Source organism: Homo sapiens, chromosome 22 (genome assembly GCF_000001405.40).
Source record: "Homo sapiens chromosome 22, GRCh38.p14 Primary Assembly".
NCBI classification, from domain to species: Eukaryota; Metazoa; Chordata; class Mammalia; order Primates; family Hominidae; genus Homo; species Homo sapiens.
This window is the reverse complement of record NC_000022.11, coordinates 47,685,172-47,705,172: the sequence shown is the minus strand read 5'-3', so window position 1 is coordinate 47,705,172 and position 20,001 is coordinate 47,685,172. Positions and strand designations below refer to the sequence as shown.

Here is a 20,001-nt window from a genome sequence, read left to right as displayed (position 1 = left end):
TATGCCAGCCGGTAAATGCGTGACCCTGGGAAACTTACTCGCCTGTCTGAGCCTCAGTTTTCTCAAGCATGTAATGAAAATGAGAACAAAAATTTCTTAGTTTTTCCAAACTCAAGTCCAAATAAAGGTCCAAATTCAAGAAGACAGAGGATTGCTCTTCAGCCATGACAAAAAGTAACTACCAAAACTGATTTTAAGCCTGCCCTGACAAATTGAGTCAACTTTTTATCAGTAACTACATTTCTGAGTGACAGCCATTCAGTGGCAGCCTCACTGTCCCAACCCCGAGTCCACGGCCAAAGTCATCCAATCCCTAAATGCTCCCCCTCCCAAGTCTGCCAGTCTTGGAGCTCCACAAGCAGTTTGCGCTGTTCAGGGTGACCACACTCTACAAGCACAGCTCTCCCTTACTTAGCAAGAAATACCTTTCAGATTTTTGGTTTCAGCATTTTGTTTGGCAAGGATAATCAAGCCCAGCTTCTGAAGATCACATGATGATCAAATGAGGCCATTTATTAAGGGCCGATGGGTAGCAGTGTCTCCGGCAGCCAGCCAGTCAGATTTGGTCAAGCCTGAAGCCTCATCTGTAAACCACAGAAAGGAACAGGGAAGCTGAGAAAAGATGCCTGATAATGTAATGAATTGTTCTCATATGTGAATATACTTTTGTTGGCAGACCAAGTCATGCTAGGTCTTCGTATTGACAAGGAAATGGTAAAAGTGTACATTTAAGATAGCCTCTCTAGTGCATTGAGCCCCCATGTAACTAACAAAAGGATAAGAAGGAATGTATAACTAAAAGCGAATAGAGGTAAGAATAGGAAACATGATGATTATCTGATTATCACTGTCACACGTTGAAAAGAATGTGAAAAGCCGGCAGGGGGTGACTCACGCCTGTAATCCCAGCACTTTGGGAGGCCGAGGCGGGCGGATCACCTCAGGTCAGGGGTTTGAGATCAGCCTGGCCAACATGGCGAAACGCCATCTCTATTAAAAATACAAAAATTATCGGGTGTGGTGGCGGGTGCCCGTAATCCCAGCTACTCCAGAGGCTAAGGCAGGAGAATCGCTTGAACCCAGGAGGCGGAGGTTGCAGTAAGCCAAGATCATGCCATTGCACTCCAGCCTCGGTGACAAGAGCAAGACTCCATCTCAAAAAAATAAAGAAATAAAATAAAATAAAGAGAAAAGAATGTGAAAAGTAAAAATAAGAAATAAAGAATAAATGGAACAAATAGAAAATATAAGGTAACAGTTAAATTTTCAAATATATCAGATTACATTAAATGTAATGGGACTGTGTTTTTCAAATAAAGAGTACAATTGTCGAACTGAATGATAAAGGAAAATTCAAATATATGCTACCTAAGAAAGACACATGTTAAAGATAAATACACACACAGATTGCATAAAATATATTGGGAAAATATATACCACACAAACATTAACTAATAGAAAGCTGGTATAGGTATCATTAGACAAAATGGAATTTAAGATAAGAAGTATTACTAGAAAAAAATAAGAAGTATTACTAGAGAATAAGGAGGAACATTTCACAACACTAATAGAATTAAAACTCAATTGGAAGATGTCATGATATAAGCAAGAATAAAAAATATTCAAATAAAATGGAGACTCAGGCTGTGCATGGTGGCTCATGCCTGAAACTGAAATACTTTGGGAGACCGAGTGGGGAGGATTGCTTGAGCCCAGGAGTTTGAAAGCTGTCAGGGCAACATAGTGAGGCTACATCTCTTACCTAAAAATTATTTTTTTTAATTTTTAAAAAAAGGAAACACAACTACAGATTAGATAGGTCTTAAAAGAACAATAAGATATTTTGAATTACTTTATGCCAAAAAATTCTGAAACTTTAAATGAAATGTACAAATTCCTTGGAAAACATAACATCCCAAAAGTTACACAAAAATGAATACCAAGTCTAGTCATTTATGTATTAGACAGTTTTAATCCATAGTTTTAGAAGTCTCACACACATGTATACAAATTTCAATGGCTTCATGGTAAATTCTTCAGAATACTTAAAGATGATATAACACCACAGGGTACAAAAAGTACAAAGCATAAATATTAACATTCATACATGACACAACTAGTACCTAACTAAGAATAGAATTAAACTTTCCCCTCACTCTGAAAAAGAATGTATTTTAAAAAGAAAAGTCACATAGCAAGCATCATACTTTTTGAGAAAATATTGCAAAATTTATTCTGAGATCAGGAAAGAGAAAAGGATTTCTGCTTTTTTCTATACTAAAGAAAGAAGTAAGTAAATGCATAACAATTGGAATGGAAAAATTAAAAATGTCTTAATTATATAAGAAAATCCAAAATAAATAACTGAAAAATTTATATTATTAGAATTAATAAGGGACCATGGCAGAATTCCTTAATTTTAAGTCAAAATACCGAATAAATTATGTTTTTATCTCTGCAACAATAATTAGAAATTTTTTAAAAAGTTATCATTTAAAATAATACCAGAACATAAAATCTAACACCTAGGAAATAAACTATTTACATAAACTCTACATAAAAAACTAGTATTATTATTGACAAATATTTCAAAGCAGACCTAAATAAATGTATCTATAAAGACACAACACTCTAAAGATATTAGTTTTCCCCAACTTTATCTAGAGATTCCATGTAACTCTAATCAAAATATCAAGGGTGTGTGTGTGTGTGTGTGTGTGTGTGTGTGTGTGTGTAAGAGAGAAAGAGAGAGACAGAAAGAAAGAAGGTGAAGAAGAAGAAGGAGAAAGAGAAGGAGAAGGAGGAGAAGGAGAAGGAGGAGAAGGAGAAGGAAGAAGAAGAAGAAGAAGAAGAAGAGAAGAAGAAGAAAAGAAGAAGAAGAAGAGGCAGCAGCAGCAGCAGCAGCAGCAGCAGCGGGGTGGGGAGGGGAGAGGAGGGGGAGGGGAGGGGGGAGGGGAGGGGAAGAGGGAGTGGGAGTCAAGGAGAGAGGAGGGGAAGGAGGAAGAGGAGATAAAGGAGAAGAAGAGGAGGAGGAGTGAGGAGAGGAGGAGGAGAAGAAGAGGAAGAAGAACAACAAAAACAACAAGGAGGAGAATTATTATTTATATAAAAATGCAAAGGATTAAAAAGGGCAAACAAACACAGTCATGAAGAATAAGAGAAAAATTGACAGTCTTACTTCACCAGGTACTAGGAACCAATATAATCCACTGTCTAAATAAAAGACAGTAAGAAAGAGAATTCTTGAAAGACGTCCAAGTGGAAGCACCAGGAATCCACTTTACCACAAGTTATACTGGCAGAATCTGTCTGGTGTAAGTATTTTGGAAGTCTGAAGTCTATTTGAAGGCTTACAAGTTCCAGGGTAAGACTTGCACAGTAAATTGCAGTTAATTTTGGTCAGTTTCAGCTCTAGCTTAATGGCAAATACCCGTCTTCCAACCCCCATGCCTATGCCAGGTATCCATGCATGTGTTCCTGAAGTAGTTTGCATATAGCTTGTGGGAGTCAGGGTGAGCAATAGGGATCCTGTTCTTTAAATATGAGGTATCTCTGTTCTGATTGCTGATTGCTGGTTCTGATCACAGAGGTGCAGACACAGAGGAGGGCAGCCATTGTTGCACAGCCCTCCCACCCACTGCATTGTTGCGATCCTCTTCCCCTTTGGCTGAAACAACTTTCAGGGGATTTAAAACAGGGGTACCTTTTATTACTCTTCTTTATTTTCCTAGTTTTCCCCTTTGGGGAGCCAGCAATCTCAGGACTAGGACATTCAAAGGCAATCGTATATACAGGGGAATTCAGAAAATCACTATGCAGGCCCAGGGAAACTCACAAGCTCAGAACAGACACACCTTAAAACAGTTTTTCAAAGCAATTCTTGGAAAAGCAGGGGATTCAGACCTCTGACAATACCACAGCATAAGATTCAAAGGTCTAGCTTTAAAGAAAAAAAGTATAAGACACAAAAAGAAACAGAAAAGTATGGTTTATTCGAAGGAAAAATGAATCAACAGATATTGTCCCTGAAAAAGACCTGGTTGCAGATCTACTAAAGACTAAATGACTGTCTTAAAGATGCTTGGCGTTAAAAGATATGGACAAAGATAAGAAAATTCTAAAGCTGAAAAGTACAATAACTAAAATAAAAAAAATCTAGAGTGATTCAAAAACAAATGTGAACAGGCAGAAGAAAAAAATAAGTAATCTTAAATATATGACAACTTGAGTGATTGAGTCTGAGGAACAGAAGAAAAACAAATGAAGAAATGTGAGCAGATCCTAAGGGACCTGTGGGTCACTGCCAAGCAGACTAACATATATATTGTGGGATTACCAGAAGGAGAAGAGAGTGAAATGGGGAGAGAAATTATATGAAGAAATAATGGCCAAAAACTTTTCAAATTTGATGGAAGATATGAATCTAAACATCCAAGAAGCTCAATGAACTTCAAGAAGTATAAACTCAGAGAGAATCATATTGAGGCACATTATAATCAAACTGTCAATAGACAAAGAGAGAATCTTAAAAACAGCAAAAGAGAATCAACTAAACACACGCAAGAGACTTCCAGTAATATTAATAGAAGATTTCTCATTAGAAACCTTGGAAACAAGAGGCAGTGGGTTTATATATTTCAAGTGCTAGAGGAAAAAATCATCAGTGAAGAATCCCATATATGGCAAAACTGTCCCTCAAAATGAGAGAGAAATTAAGACATTCCCAGATAATGGAGAAAGTTCCTTCACTAGATCTGCCCTGTAAGAATTGCTGATCAACTGCCAGATGAAAAGAATGAACCCTGGACAGTAACTTGAAGCTGAGTAAAGAAATAAATACCTCAGTAAAGGTAAATACATGGACAGTTATAAAAGCTAGTTTTATTGTAACTTTGGGTTGTAACTCCACTTTTTGTATTCTACATGGTTTAAAAGAATAACACATTAAAAATTATTAGTCTATGTCTTTGGACACACAATGTCTAAAGGTATAATTATGTGACATCAATAACTGAAATGGTAAAGGACAAAGATATATAGGATCAGACATTCTTATGTTATTGACATTAAGTTGGTATAAATTCAAATTAGACTATTATAATTTTAGGAGTTAAATGTAATCTCAATGATAACCACAAAAAATAGCTATAGAATATACATCAAAGGAAATGAGAAAGGAATTCAAATGTTTTACTAGAAAAAAAATCAAGTAAACACGAAGTAATGCAGGACATAAAGGAAATAAAATTATAAGGCATATAGAAAACAAAAAGCAAAATGACAAAAGTAAGTTCCTTTTTATCAGTATTACTCCACATGAAAATAGATCAGACTTTCCAATCAAAAGAGATGAGCAGAATGGATAAACAAAAACAAGCATGATCCAACTGTATACTGTCCATAAGAGACTTACATTAGATCCCAAAACACGAATAGATTGAAAGGATGTAAAAAGATATTCCATGCACATAGTAATCAACAGAGAATAAGACAGCTATACTAATATCAAACAAAATAGACTTTAATCAAAAAAGTTTACAAGAGACAAAGGACAATATATATTAATAAAAGGTTCAATACGGCAAGAAGATATAACAGTAAACATTTACACACCTACTAACAAACTGTCAAAATATATGAAGAAATTCTGACACATACTATAAGTTGGTTATTGAACCTGGAAAAAATTATGCTAAGTAAAATAAGCCAACCACAAAAGAATAAAGATTGTATGGTTCACTCACATGAGGTCCCCTAGAATAGTCAAATTCATAGAGCAGAAAGTGTTATAGGTAGTTAGACAGGCATGAGCGGCGGCAGGAGAGGCTCTCCCCCACCCACTACGAATGTCAGGTGATGGTTCAGCAGTGGTCACATTGCCTCTCTAAAAGTGATAAACTGGCAGCTGGTGCCAGGGAGAGGCCATTTCCTGATGTCCACACCTATTGTACTAAAGTGATAATTGAACACAAGTGTCAGGGAGAAACAACTTCCTGGGCATGCACAGTAAGAGACAAAAATGGCAGAGGATGACCTTCCGGGGCACGCCACTGGAAAAAGGAAGACAGCCTCAAACGGGCATGCGTACATCTTCCCCAACACACTGCACATGCTCACTTCCCAAGGTAAGGAGCGCACTGCACATGTGGGCAGCCCACCCTAAGGGAAGAATCATAGGAAAGGGATGCAAGATGCCGGCGTATAAAGTCCTAGGATTACAGTTAAGCAAGGAACTTGTTCAAGTCGCCCACTAGGATCTCTTCCAAGTGTTCTTTTCTATTCTAAAATCTTTTTAATAAACTTCCACTCCAGCTCTGAGGCTTGCCTGTTGTCCTTTTCTGCCTTATGCCCCTCAGTTGAATTTTTTTTTCTGGGGAGGCAAGAATTGAGGTTGCTGCAGACCCGAATGGATTCACTGCCGGTAACTCAGATACCTTCCGCCGGTAACAAAAGTGGAACGGTGGTTGCCAGGGACTGGGAATGGGGGAATCGGGAGTTAGTATTTAATGGGTACAGAGTTTTACTTTGGGAAGATGAAAAGTTTCTGTGAATGATGGATGGTAGTGATGGTTTCATAACCATGTGACTATGCTGTAATCCAAAAATAAAATTACAAGCGCTCCAGCTGACTGATGGGTCCTGCCGTCGGCCAAGGGCACTGCAGAGAAACCTGCCATGAGAGGAAGTGGAAGGTTGGGCGTGCCTCATTTTACCCTCCTCCCTTTGGAGTTCAGGCACAACAGACCAGCGTTACCATGAAGACAGAGATCTGAAGAATGAAAAAACAGACTCCTTGTAGCAATAGGACACCAAATTCCAACCTTACTCTAGTGTAGCATCACATGACAGATAGCAGGCTCTGAAAGAAATGGAAGTGTTTTACCTCAAAATATATTTCTTTGACATATTTTGCAGTGGTCCTGCAAAGCTGTCTCTTGTGGGGGATATCTGCATTCTGTAGAGAATCCCTTTCCCTTTCCAGGTCTTTACTTTGATCCAGGAGAGAATTAACTAAGAGTCTGGCGCCTTTTTAAGTCTGATAAGAAACACTTACAACCTATTGACTCTGAAGCCTACTCCCTGAAGTTTTATCTGCATAATAAAAACCTTGGTCTTCACAACCCCTTATCTTAACCCAGACATTCCCTTGTATTGATTCCAGATCTTTAGATAATAACTTAAGTCCTTCAACCAATTGCCAATCAGAAAACCTTTGAATCCACCTATGACCTGGAAGCTTCAATTGTCCTGCCTTTCCAGGCTGAACCAATGTACAGCTTACATTTATTGATTGATGTCTGCCTGTAACTTCTGTCCCCCTAAAATGTAAAAACCCCAGCTGTAAACCTTGGGCACATGTTCTCAGAACCTCTTAAGGCTGTGTCAAACATCATGGGCCTCACATTTGGCTCAAAATAAATATCTTTTCTTTTTTTTTGGGGGGGCGGGGATGGAGTTTCACTCTTTTTGCCCAAGCTGGAGTGCCATGGTGTGATCTTGGCTCACCGCAACCTCCGCCTCCCGGGTTCAAGTGATTCTCCTGCCTCAGCCTCCTGAGCAGCTGGGATTACAGGCCTGCACCACCACGCCTGGCTAATTTTGTATTTTTAGTAGAAACAGGATTTCTCCATGTTGGCCAGGCTGGTCTCGAACTCCCGATCTCAGGTTATCCTCCTGCCTCAGCCTCCCAAAGTGCTGGGATTACAGGCGTGAGCCACCATGCCCAGCCCAAAATAAATCTCTTTAAATATTTTACAGTTTGACTCTTTACATCAACACTGCCTAATGCCACTGAATTTTACAATTAAAAATGATTAAAATGGTTACATCTATCCCATGCATATTTACCATAATCCTAAAAATTACATTTTTTTTAAAAGATCAGTGATTGCAAGGAGTTCAGAGAGAGGGGGAGGGTTGAACAGGTGGAGCAAAAGGGATTTTTTAAGGCAGTGAAACTATTCTGTATGATCTGTAATATATGAAATGATGCATTTGCTGAAATCCATAGAGTGTATAACAGTAAGTATGAATCCTAATGTAAACAATGGACTTTAGTCAATAATAATGTACCAAAAGATAAAAACGAAAACAAACTAACACAAAAGACTGTGGAACAAGCATAGGAGAGATAGAGCACTGGAACATAACAGAGAGTCCAGAGGCAGACCCCACATGGCCAGTCACAAACCTGGCAAGGTGCCATGGCAGTGCAGGGAGGAAATAACTTAAATTTTGTTGGGGCATTTGGAAAATGTGTATCATGTAGAAAAACCTGAACCTTGATGCTTAACTTACCCCATGCACAAACATCAATTCCAGGTGGGTCATAGCCAAAGTGTGGATGGAAAAATGCTAAATCTAGGAAAATATCTTCACGACCGCAGGAAAAGGGTAAGATTTCTTAAAGAGCACACAACAAAATACTAACCACAAAGTAAAGATCAATAAAATGGATTGCATTAAAATTAAGGACCTCTAAGCATCACATAAGAGCTTCTTTCATCAAAGGATAACTTTAAAGGAGTAAAATGGCAAACCACAGACAGAAGAAATATTAGCAGTATGCTTGCAATGTGAATGGCTAATATATAAAAATAAGTCTGACCATTTTCTTAATAGAAGACAAATAGCCTAATAAAAAGTAGGCAAAAGACTTGAACAGATACGTCATAAAATTTGATATCAAAATGGCCAATACATATGAAAAGATGTCCAGTTTTATTAATCATCAGGTAAAGGCATTTTAAAACCACAAAGAATTATGAGTATATAACCACTTAAGTGGCCAAAATTTTACAAACTGACCATCCCAAGTTGGTGAGGTTGTGAAGATGCCCAGACAGTGCTTTTGAAAGTAGAAATTGGTGGCCGGGCACAGTGGCTCACGCCTGTAATCCCAGCACTTTGGGGAGCCGAGGCAGGTGGATCACCTGAGGTCAGGAGTTCAATACCAGCCTGGCTAACATGGTGAAAACTCGTCTCTACTAAAAATACAAAAATTAGCCAGGCGTGGTGGCGGCCATCCGTAATCCCAGCTAGTCGGGAGGCTGAGGCAGGAGAATCACTGGAACCTGGGAGGCAGAGGTTGCAGTGAGCCGAGATCGCACCATTGCACTCCAGCCTGGGCGACAAGAACAAAACTCTGTCTCAAAAAAAAAAGGAAGTAGAAATTGGCACATAACTTGGGAAAGTTGCTTGGCATTATCTACCAAAAACAAACATATACATGTCCGTATCTATTCAACAGAAATCTGTACATGTGTACAAGAGACATGTACATCATTGAAGCAGTCTTCTAATGGCCAAAGACCAGAACCAACTTAAGTGTCCACCAACAGTAGGACACACACATGTATTATAGTAGATTCCCACAGTAGAACACTGTCTGGCAATGGAAAAGAAGGAACCAGTGCTTTGCCCAACAGTATGAATGAATGTCACAGACATACTTGCCTCATTCAGGGGTCTTGGATGGTCCTAGTGAACCACGTTCCCCAGGGGAGATGTCTCCCTTCAGTCTGGGTCAGTTACCAGGTGTTTCTTTCATAAAGGGAGTTTAAGCTATTCTTGTAAGAGTAAGGTTGGTTTTAAGGTTCAAGAAGGTTGCATATGTGCTGAGGAGGCCTTGTCTCTAGGGCAACCAGGTTTTTTAGGTCCTGTTGTCATGGAGACCCAGTAATTCCCCAGACCAGGGTTGGAAATCCCCAGACCAGGTTACAGCATCTTGCTAAGTGATACATAGTGCATCGGCCCCGAGAGATGTCAGAGTGGGCCTTATGGCTGTCATTCATCTTATAGCCACAACCCGTGTCTTAGAGGCCTCCGCCCCCAGGCCACAGAACGCTACTGATCCACCTGAGCTCTGCCTCCTGTCAGATCAGCAATGACATTAGAGACTTATAGGAATGTGAGTCCTATTGTGAACTGCACATGTGAGGGATCTAGGTTGAGCATGCTCCTCATGAGAATCTAATACCTGATGATCTGGCCCTGTCTCCCATCACCCCTAGATGGGACCGCCTAGTTGCAGGAAAACAAGCTCAGGGCTCCCACTGATTCTATGTTACGATAAATTATAGAATGACTCATTATATATTACAATGTAATAATAATAGAAATAAATGCGCAACAAATGCAATGCACTTGAATCATCCTGAAACCAACCCCCACCCCAGCCCTGGTCTCTGGAAAAATTGTCTTCCATGAAACCAGTCCCTGGTGCCAAAAAGGGTGGGGACAACTGCCTTAGAGCGTGCTACAATACACTAGTATCTGAAAGAAGCCAGACTTGAAAGACTGCTGGCTGAGTGATACTATCTACAGAAGTTTAGGGGAAAATGTCTATAGTGATATAAGTAAAAATAGCAGAAACTTGGCAGGTAATGTATGGGGCAGACCGCAAGGGAGGCTTCTGGGTTATTATAGTTTTGTCTTGAGTTGGTAACATGAGTGTATTTTCTTTCCACAAATCACTCATTCATTCATTCATTCATTCATTCATTCCAGCCCTACACTTTCCATTGTGCCCTTTAATATTAGTTTCCACTTTAAAAAAAAAAAAAAGCTTATCTTAAGAGGAATAGGAAAATGTTACTAAGCTCACAAAGTATATTAAAATCTAGAGAATTAAAGCTGCTTCATATTTGTTAGCTTAACTTATTAGATTTACAAGCACTGTTTAAATGCTTGGAAGTTCTGTTTGCTAGCCAGACGATTGAAATACCAAAAAAAAAAAAAAAAAAGAAAAAAGAAAAGAAAATCAAATATATTACATATATTAATTCCATTTAAAATACTTGAGGGAATTTCATGGTCTAAGTTTATAAATAGGATCAAACATTAATCAGAGTTGAATTCAAAGAGATAAGGAAGTCATTTTTTAATGTGTAATTTTCATACATCAAATAATATTCTTTAAATGTAAGTTCCTAAGTGACCCTTGAATCATCTTTTCACTGGACAAAAGCAGTCAACCAGGGTACTGAAAGCATCATGGTGACACCATGTGATGTGGTCAACGCAATCCCTGGGATCAAATAAACAAGGAATGCCAGGTGTCACCACCATGATAATTCTGTTTGCCCTTGTTGCGACTGTTGTCATTTGTCACGCTGTGTCATTACGATCTGCAACACAGATTCTTTTCTGCTGGTGGTGTCTCTCAGCCACCCAATCCTACTTTCCCAACCCTGCAGTATAGACAGACACCATGGAACCATCATGGTGCCTTGAGGGGGATGGATTTGTGATGAAGACCTTCAAGGCCAACTCCGCCCTAAAGCCACCCTGATACCCTGGGGGTCAAGAGGTGTGCTGTGGCAGAAGTCGTGACTCCTGGGCCCACAGTGCCTCTTTAGCCCCTACACCAGGGGAGGACGTGCTTCTGCAGACCCTCTGGATCTGTGTGAATAAAAACACATGTGTGAGCATGGTCTCATGTAGAATCAGTTGTGTATACAGAAGCCCAGTAGGCTCCTACCTTACAGGGAGTGTCACCAGCCAAGGCAGCCCCCGCAAAGGGGCTGGGGGCTGGGGCGAGTCGTCCTTGGGGGCTGCTGCAGCTGCTCCCCCATGCATGACTCTAACAAACACCCCTGACTTTGGATAATCAAACCAGGAGCTCAGTGGCCTCCCACAGTGGACAGTCTCTTCCCACTGAGTCCTGGAGGAGAGGGAAGTGCCTGATGCATCTCTATATCCCACAATCCCTGGAAACTGAGGAAGTAAAAAAAAAAAAAAATGAAGGATTAAAGAGACATGGCTGTCAGTCAATGGGGTGTTGAAAACACTCAAATAAAATCAGTTCCATGTAGTGCAGTGGTAGAACCAGTGAGGATGCCCAGAATCCAGACACATGTTTTATATCAAATTATTGCAGGAGCCTGAGTGAGAACATTAACCTCCCTGGCACTATTCTCTCCTCTGTTGGACAGGGGTTTTTCCTCTGCTGCCCTCTTACCGCCTGGGTCACACAGGAGGTAACGTGATCAGGATGGTGAGCAAGGAGTACCAGCCTCCTGCAGAGATGCCCTGGAAAGACGCCAGAACAATCGAGGAAAGAAAGTCCGAAAGCACATGGGTCAGCTGTTCATACACTCACCAGAGCCCTGCAAAGACGCCCCATTGTGCAGAGAGAAGGTGGAGATGGCAGATCCAGTGCAGAAGCCAATAGCAACGCCCTAGAACCGGGAACACCGTGGAGGGGATCAGATGTGCCGCTGCCTCGGGGGAACAAGTCCCAGAGGGGGTGTCTCTGGGAGACCTCCCTCTGCCAGGTCTGGAGCAGAGGCAGGGCCAGGTCTTGACATGTATCTCTGGTAAAGCAAGGACTGGAGCCTCCTCACCCCGATGAACTGTGGAGGCGGGCTCTGAACGGCTAGAAAGACTGAGGTTCCCACCCACTGCCCAGAAGGTCTGTGATGTGGAGAAAAAGATACATCACTGTGTTTCCATCACAACAGCAGAGCAAAGCTACAGTCCTTCCACCAAAATACTGCTGATGACCGAATCTTCATCCAAAAGGCCTTTTACTTTCGTTTGATGTCCAACTCCATAAATACTCACTGAATATGGACAACATGCAGGGTACCAGACCTATGTGCTTATTTGTAACTAAAGAGGTATTTTTACAGAAAATGCATAGGCCGCCCTGGATGAGTCAGGGTTTGCCGGAGAAACAGACCACTGGGCTCTATGTAATAACATAGAAGAGACTTTCTGAGGGACGTGGAAATTTTCTCTTCTGTATTACTTCTTTGTTTTTTTTCCTTTGAGATGGAGTTTTGCTCTTATTGCCCACGCTGGAGTGCAATGGCACGATCTCAGCTCACCATCTCCCAGGTTCAAACAATTCTCCTGCCTTAGCCTCCCGAGTAGCTGGGATTACAGGCAAGCACCACCACGCCTGGCTAATTTTGTATTTTCAGTAGAGACAGGGTTTCTCCATGTTGGTCAGGCTGGTCTCGAACTCCTGACCTCAGGTGATCAGCCCGCCTCGGCCTCCCAAAGTGCTGGGATTACAGGCATGAGCCACCGCGCCCAGCCCTCTTCTGTATTACTATACAGAACCCACTGATCTGTTTCTCCCTTTCCAGCTCACAGGATCATGGAGGCTGAGAAGTCCCAGGATAAGCTATTTGTAAGCTGGAGCCCCGGGAAAGCAGGAGGTGCACGCTCAGTCCTGGTCTGAAGGCCTGAGTACTGGGTAGGGTGGGCGAGGATGGGGGCCAGGGCAATAATGTGAGTCCTAGAGTCTAAGGCCTGAGAACCAGGAGCACAGGTGTCCAAGGGCAAGAGGAGACAAATGTCCCAGCTCAGAGAGGAAGAATGCACCCTTTCTCTGCCTCCTTGTTCTACCAGGGCCCACGGTGGATTGGACGACAATGCCCGCCCACACTAGGGAGGGGTCTTCTTGACTCAATCTGTGGGTTCACATGTGCTCTCATTAAGAAACACCCTCCCAGACACCAGGAATAATGTTTCACCAGCTGTCTGGCATCCCATGGCCCAGGCAAGTTGGCACATGAAATGAACCACACCACACACTCTGCCAGCCCAGGAATCTTCTCCGCAAAAAGAGGCTTGCCCTCCTAAGAAGGCTGCTTCAGGGCCTGGGCCCCTCAAACTGGCTCCTGAACCGCGACACACAAGGAGAAAGCCTCTCATCAATGCAACCTTGGTGATAATAAAATTACAAATACCATGTTTATGTTTCTGGAGAAGGGAAATAGGCCGGCTAAGACTTGTGGACAAGAAGACCATGGACGAAATGTACAGAAACATGCAAGCATGGCTGTTCTGGGCAGGAATGCCGGGCTGGCTTTGCATGGCTCATGAGCCCCTGATCTCATCCAAAGCGGCTCAGGACAGGAGGCTGGGTGGGGCCTGGAGGTGGATGCAGCTGGAGGCCTCTCTACACTTCTGATGGGATTTCATATTGGATGGAAGAGTGTCTCTGTCTTTCTGAGCCATCCACTTTGTTCTCATGCAGATGAGAAGACCTGTGGGCAAGGCTGTTGCTGCTCTCTCTTCTCCGACAAGCTCAGTCGTGGTATTTATTTGGAGTGATTAGCAGTGGAAGAACAGAGCTTCTCTCTTAGAATTAGTCTCCCAGGGTGGACATCCTATGGTGGTGTTTTTTCTTGTTTTTTAATTTTGTTTTGTTTTGTTTTTAATTTTTTAAAAAGGAGCAAGATTGGCTTTTGCTGTGGTATCATTATGTCATGTTTCTTTCAATAGAATCTGTAGGAAATAAGGACAAACCATGACTCAGTGAGCCTGGCCCTCTGGAAAGCCACTTTGAGGGGAAGGTTTGAGCTCCTTACACAGAAGTGGTTCCCAGGCCCCCCGCTGCTGGGGTGACACTGGGTGTGGCGTGAATCCTGGGTGAGCCATGCACCATTTTGGCTGGACTGTTTCCCTCTCAGAGAATGCAACTGTTCATTTGCTTAGTGGTATCAGCAAACAAGCAGCATCCCATGGGTGAAACCCCAAAACGCCTGGCAAGGCCTCCAGCCCACCTTCATATGAGTTTGTGAGCCTCACGCTCAGCTCACAGAGGCACCACTCAGGAAGGTCAGGGACATGGCCTGCAGGGCTCTCGAGCCCAGTGGAGCTGGGGAGGGAGGGAGGGAGCGATTGACAGAGAAGGAAGCTCAGCCACACAGCCAGGTGCCTCAAGCCACACAAGCATGGGGTGCACATGGCCAGCGATGTCCAAATCCAGGGGGCCCTGCTGTCCTGGAAGTTGGAGAAAGCCACCAACAGGTTCTCTACTTACTCTCAGGGCCAGCCATCAATGGTCCTTAAAACCCCCTGACAGTGGGTCCTTTGATCCACCCCTTGCCAAGGCCACAACCTCATCCCTTCTCTCACAGCAGGGGCTTCAGCCCTCCTCCTGCCTCCCAAGCCCTCAGCCTGGCCCCTGGTTTTGGCAAGCCCTGATCTTCTACTTCTGTAAAGAGATGAAGGCATCAAACTCAGCTCCTTCCACCTTCTATTGTTATTCCAACTCAGATCTATTGGTCTTGACCAATAGGGAAAAGCATCCTTAGCTGTTGTTTGCAGCAGCCCTTTGGACAAACCATACCATCTTCCCGACCCCCTGCTTCCTTATCTCTAAATATCAGAAACACCCACACTTACCACCCAGCATGGTCTCATGCCAGCTTAAGTCCAAGATAATTGGGGCCAAGGGCTGTTCTGAGGTTAAATAATGTAATCTCTATCAAGAATATGACAACACGAGGCTGCAGTGAGCCGTGATGGCACTGCCACACTCCAGCCTGGGTGACAGAGTGAGACCCTCTCTCAAAAAAAAAAAAAAAAAAGAATACGACAACAGCTCCTTGATATGATAAACACAGAATTACTGTATGACCAACTCTCCACTCCTAGGCATGTACCTAGGAGACTCAAAAGCAGTGTTTAAATACATATTTGCATAGGAGTGTTCTTGGCAGCATTATTCATTATAGACAAAAAGTGGAAACAACCCAAGTGGTGTATCACAAAATGTGGTATATTTATACAATGAAATATGGTAGTGTTCCTCCATAAAAAGGAATGAAGTTTTGTTTGTTTGTTTGTTCGTTTGTTGTGACAGAGTCTTGCTCTGTCTCCCAGGCTGGAGTGAAGTGGTGTGATCCTGGCTCACTGCAACCTCCACCTCCCAGGTTCAAGCAATTCTCCTGCCTCAACCTACTGAGTAGCTGGGACTAAAGATGTGTGTCACCACGCCCGGCTAATTTTTGTATGTTTAGTAGAGATGGGTTTTCACCATGTTGGCCAGGCTGGTCTTGAACATCTGACTGCAAGTGATCTGCCCGCCTCAGCCTCCCAAAGTGCTGGGATTACAGGTGTGAGCCACGGCACCCAGCCAGGAATGAAGTTCTGACACAGGCTACAGTGTGGCTGAGCCTTGAGAACGTTATGCTCTGTGAAATAAGCCAGACACAAAGGGCCATATAGTGCCTGATTCCATTTACATGAGTTGTCCAGAATAGGCGCATTCATGGAGATGAGAAGTAGATAGATGGTTACCAGGGGCCGGCGGAGGAGGGAATGAGGGAACTCCTTTTTGTAGGGACTTGATAATATCCTACGTTTAGGTAATGTTCATGGTTGCCCAGCATTGCCAACATACTTAATGCCTCTCTGCTCAGCCACTTTAAAGTGATTGATACCATACATTTTATGTTTTGTATATTGTTAAAACAATTAAAAGGGAGGCCCTCAGACTAAGGGTACCCTAATGCCTTGGGTTCTTACATAAGCAGAATTAAACTTAAGGCCAGGGGTGGTGGCTCATGCTTGTAATCCCAGCACTTTGGGAGGCCAAAGCCAGTGGATTACTTGAGGCCAGGAGTTCATGACCACCCTGGCCAACATGGTGAAATCCCACCTCTACTAAAAATACAAAAAAAAATTAGCCAGGCATGGTGGCGGGCACCTGTAATCCCAGCTACTTGGTAGGCTGAGGCAGGAGAATCACTTGAACCTGGGAGGCAGAGATTGCGAGATTGCCGTGAGTCGAGATCATGCCACTGAATTCCAACCTGGGCAACAGAGTGAGACTGTCTCAAAAAAAAAAAAAAAAAGAAAGAAAAAAAGAAACTTACGCTCAGCCAATCACAGGCAGCCAAGTAAGCATGAGTTCTATTACGAGGAACTCCCCCTGGCTGGAGAGTTCAAATGAAAGGACTGCTCCACTTTAACCAATTAAATAATTTCTTTGCTCTGCTTCCACATTCACCCTATAAAAGCTTTCCCTCCAAGCCCCTCCAGCAGAACCCCCAACCAGCTGGGATCTGGAGCTGCCCTATTCATGAGTAGCTTTCTGCTGACATAAACCCTTTAAAGTTTTAATGTGACTATGTTAATTTTTTAACAGTATCTTACCATGATATTTTAAAAAGAAAGCAAGCTCTGGTGATTCAGCTCCTTTCTGCACCTATCCAGGGTCTCCCTTTAAACGCAGACTCTGTGACATCCTAATTACTGGCTTCTCCTTGGTCATTATGGTGGGCAGAAGAACAGCCCTGCAAAGATGTCCACATCCCAGTCCTTATCCTAGTCCATGTCCCAGTCTACGTCTCAGTCCATGTCCCAGTCTGTGTCCCAATTCCTGGAACCTGCGAACATGTCACCTTACATGGCAAAAGGAACTTTGCACGTGCAATTAAGGAACTGGAGATGGGGAGCTGATCTCAGGTTATCCGGGGGTGGGGGTGGTCCAGGCTAATCAGGGTTCTTACACAAGGGAGGGAGGAGGATCAGAGGAAGAGATGTGTCCTTGGAAGCAGAAGTCAGTCTGAGAGAGATTGGAGGATGGCATGCTGCTGGCTTTGAGGATGAAGGGACCATGAGCCAGGGAACACAGGCAACCTCTAGAAGTTGGAAAAGGCAATGAAATGGGTCCTCTTCCAGAGCCTCCAGAAGGAATGCAGCCCTGACCACCCATTTTGCATGTAAATCTATATAATTTAAAGTCACTAATTTTCTGAAAATTTCTTGCTGCAGCAATAGACAGACAAGTCCTACACTCTTCCAACATGTTTGGTCCCACCACTATTAGTCTATGCTCCTCAGCCTTGGCCCCACCATCCACTCTTTCATTCCATCTCTCCCTCATCCTGCCCGAAAAATTCCTAGGGTTGTTCTCCTGCCCTCACCTTCAGGGAAATCGCCTTACGTGTGTGGACACAGCCACAGTCAAGCTGCATTTTGAACACTCTCCCAACAGAGAAGAATTCTTGCCTTTCCAATGGCTCCCAACAGGAGGGCCAAGGAACGGATGGTATTCATGCTCCGTTGCTGCAGAAGGCATTATAGAATCTTCCAATTAAAGGTATTTTAATTACTCCTAGTCCCACAGCCCCAGCTTGGTCTTCCAGCCTTCTGATAAGGATGTTACAGGAGTGTGAGAATGGGATTCGTCCCAAGGCGGATTCTCTAAGGCCTACCTGAGCCGCTGTCTTTCCCTCTGGAATGCACTTCAATTACGCTCTGCTGGTCATAACACTTTACATCTGAGGAGGAAATTGTATAATCCCTTTAGTGACAATTAAAAGGAAGGATTTGCCTGCAGGTCATCGAGAGCATCTCAGAAACATTGCCTGGCTGTTCTCTCCTTTTCTCACTTTAATCCCGTTATCTTGTTTCCTTGGGGCATCTTCCTTTATTACTTTTAAAACCTTATCAGAGAGGAAGAAAAACAATCAGAATACTTACACGATGGTTATCTTGCAGTGGTGGGAATCCATGTAAGGCATCTCAGAGAACTTTACACCCAGAAGGGTCCTTGAAATAGAGAAGAGGCACCGATGCTCATGCCCCTGGCTTCCCCGGGTCCTGAATCAGAAGGGCCCTGCAGACACAGATGGCTCTTTGGAAACTGGTTCTGTGACTGAGGGCTGATGTCCATCAAGGGCAGAATCAGACAGGCAGATACCATGAGGACCACCTGGTACTTACCCCTCACTTCACAGTGGGATCTGAAACCCGGAGAAAAGGAGAACTGGGCCCAAGCTTCAGAGTCCAGGGCTCGGGATCTGTTTGCTTAGAGTGGCAGCCTCTGTTTGAAGATCTCAGTGTCCTTTTAAAAATTCATAAAGAAGGAGGCTTGGAGAGAGAGAAAGAGCACACATAGGAAGATGCTGTAACTACAAAAGTCAGTACTCAGAGGGGCTCAAATGAAAGTGGAAAGCAGAACAAGGAATGTTTGCCTGAACTCGGAATGAACATCATCCATCAGATGTGCATGTTCCAGGAGTTTGCAAAGGGCTTGCCCATGTACTGGGCACCTTTCTGGGGGGTCCCATGCCTCTCTCCTTGCCAGAGAGTATTCATGGCCATACCTCAGCATCCCAGCACCAAATACAGACGCTGTGGGCAGCAGGTGCTCCATCAATGCATAGAAGGGCAAATCCATGATCTCAATGAGCCCTTAGGGTTCCTCCGCCTCAGCTGCCTGTTTTGCAGAAGAGAAAAGGCCATTGTCACACAGGGAAGCTTCCAGCCTGTTCCAAATGCCTCCTCATTGACCTAACTGCTCAGCACGTTGAGCTGGACGGGACTCTGCCAGGGCTCAGTGAGGCATTTGATATGGTTAGGCTTTGTGTCCCCACCCAAATCTCATCTTGAATTGAATCACCAGGTGTTGCAGGAGGAACCTAGTGGGAGGTGATTGGAAAACGGAGGCGGTTTCCCCCATGCTGTTCTCCTGATAGTGAGTGAGTTCTCATGAGATCTGATGGTTTTATAAGTGTTTGGCAAGTTCCTCCTTCACTCACTCTTCTCTGTCCTGCCATCATGTGAAGAAAGTGCCTTGCTTCCCCTTCACCTTCCACCATGATTGTAAGTTTCCTGAGTCCACCGCAGCCATGTGGAACTGTGAATCAATTAAACCTCTTTCCTTAATAAATTACCCAGCCTCAGGTAGTATCTTTATAGCCATGTGAGAACAGACTAATACAGCATTCTATATATTTTTTCATCCTCTGAAAACCCCAGCACCTTCCATTGCCTTATTCACATAAAGTATCAGGCATGAACTAGGCAGATGTACAGATGGGTCATTCCAGCCCCTCCAAATGCTTCATGAAACTGAAGGCACAGACCTGGCCCTGAATGGCCACATGATCTTGGACACTTTTTAACCTCAATTCCTCCCCTGCAATGGACTGACAGTACCTGCATCTCAGGGCTTCTATGAGTGTTACCCAAGACAGCAAATTGGGCTCTGCCTGAAAACTGAGGCTGTAGTGGACAGTCATTAAGAACCTCTTTCTCCCTTGATGATGTGGCCACTTCCCTTAAGGAGCTCAGCCCCTCAGCATACTGAGACAGTGATTCTGTAAAGAAAACGCGTTGAGAAACCTGCGTTTGAACCATCTGTGGACTCTTGGGTGGGGAGTGGGGAGAAAAGCAATCTCACCCAAAAGCTTCACCCCCTTTAAGAACTGTTTTGCAGGAGAGCACAACAGTTCTCTGAGAGAA

At 43.3% G+C, this 20,001-nt stretch overlaps 1 long non-coding RNA gene across 1 annotated transcript in view; it reads right to left on the bottom strand.

Annotated features, from left to right (window-relative positions):
- EPIC1 (epigenetically induced MYC interacting lncRNA 1) overlaps positions 1–20,001 on the bottom strand; it is a 223,927-nt gene that overhangs the window by 150,428 nt on the left and 53,498 nt on the right. The window contains exons 3-7 of the long non-coding RNA NR_122046.1: positions 18,861–18,973; positions 18,478–18,598; positions 18,235–18,370; positions 17,967–18,032; positions 426–584 (exon numbers count right to left, since the gene is read on the bottom strand). This is a non-coding gene — a long non-coding RNA (epigenetically induced MYC interacting lncRNA 1). The remainder of the gene's footprint in view (positions 1–425; positions 585–17,966; positions 18,033–18,234; positions 18,371–18,477; positions 18,599–18,860; positions 18,974–20,001) is intronic.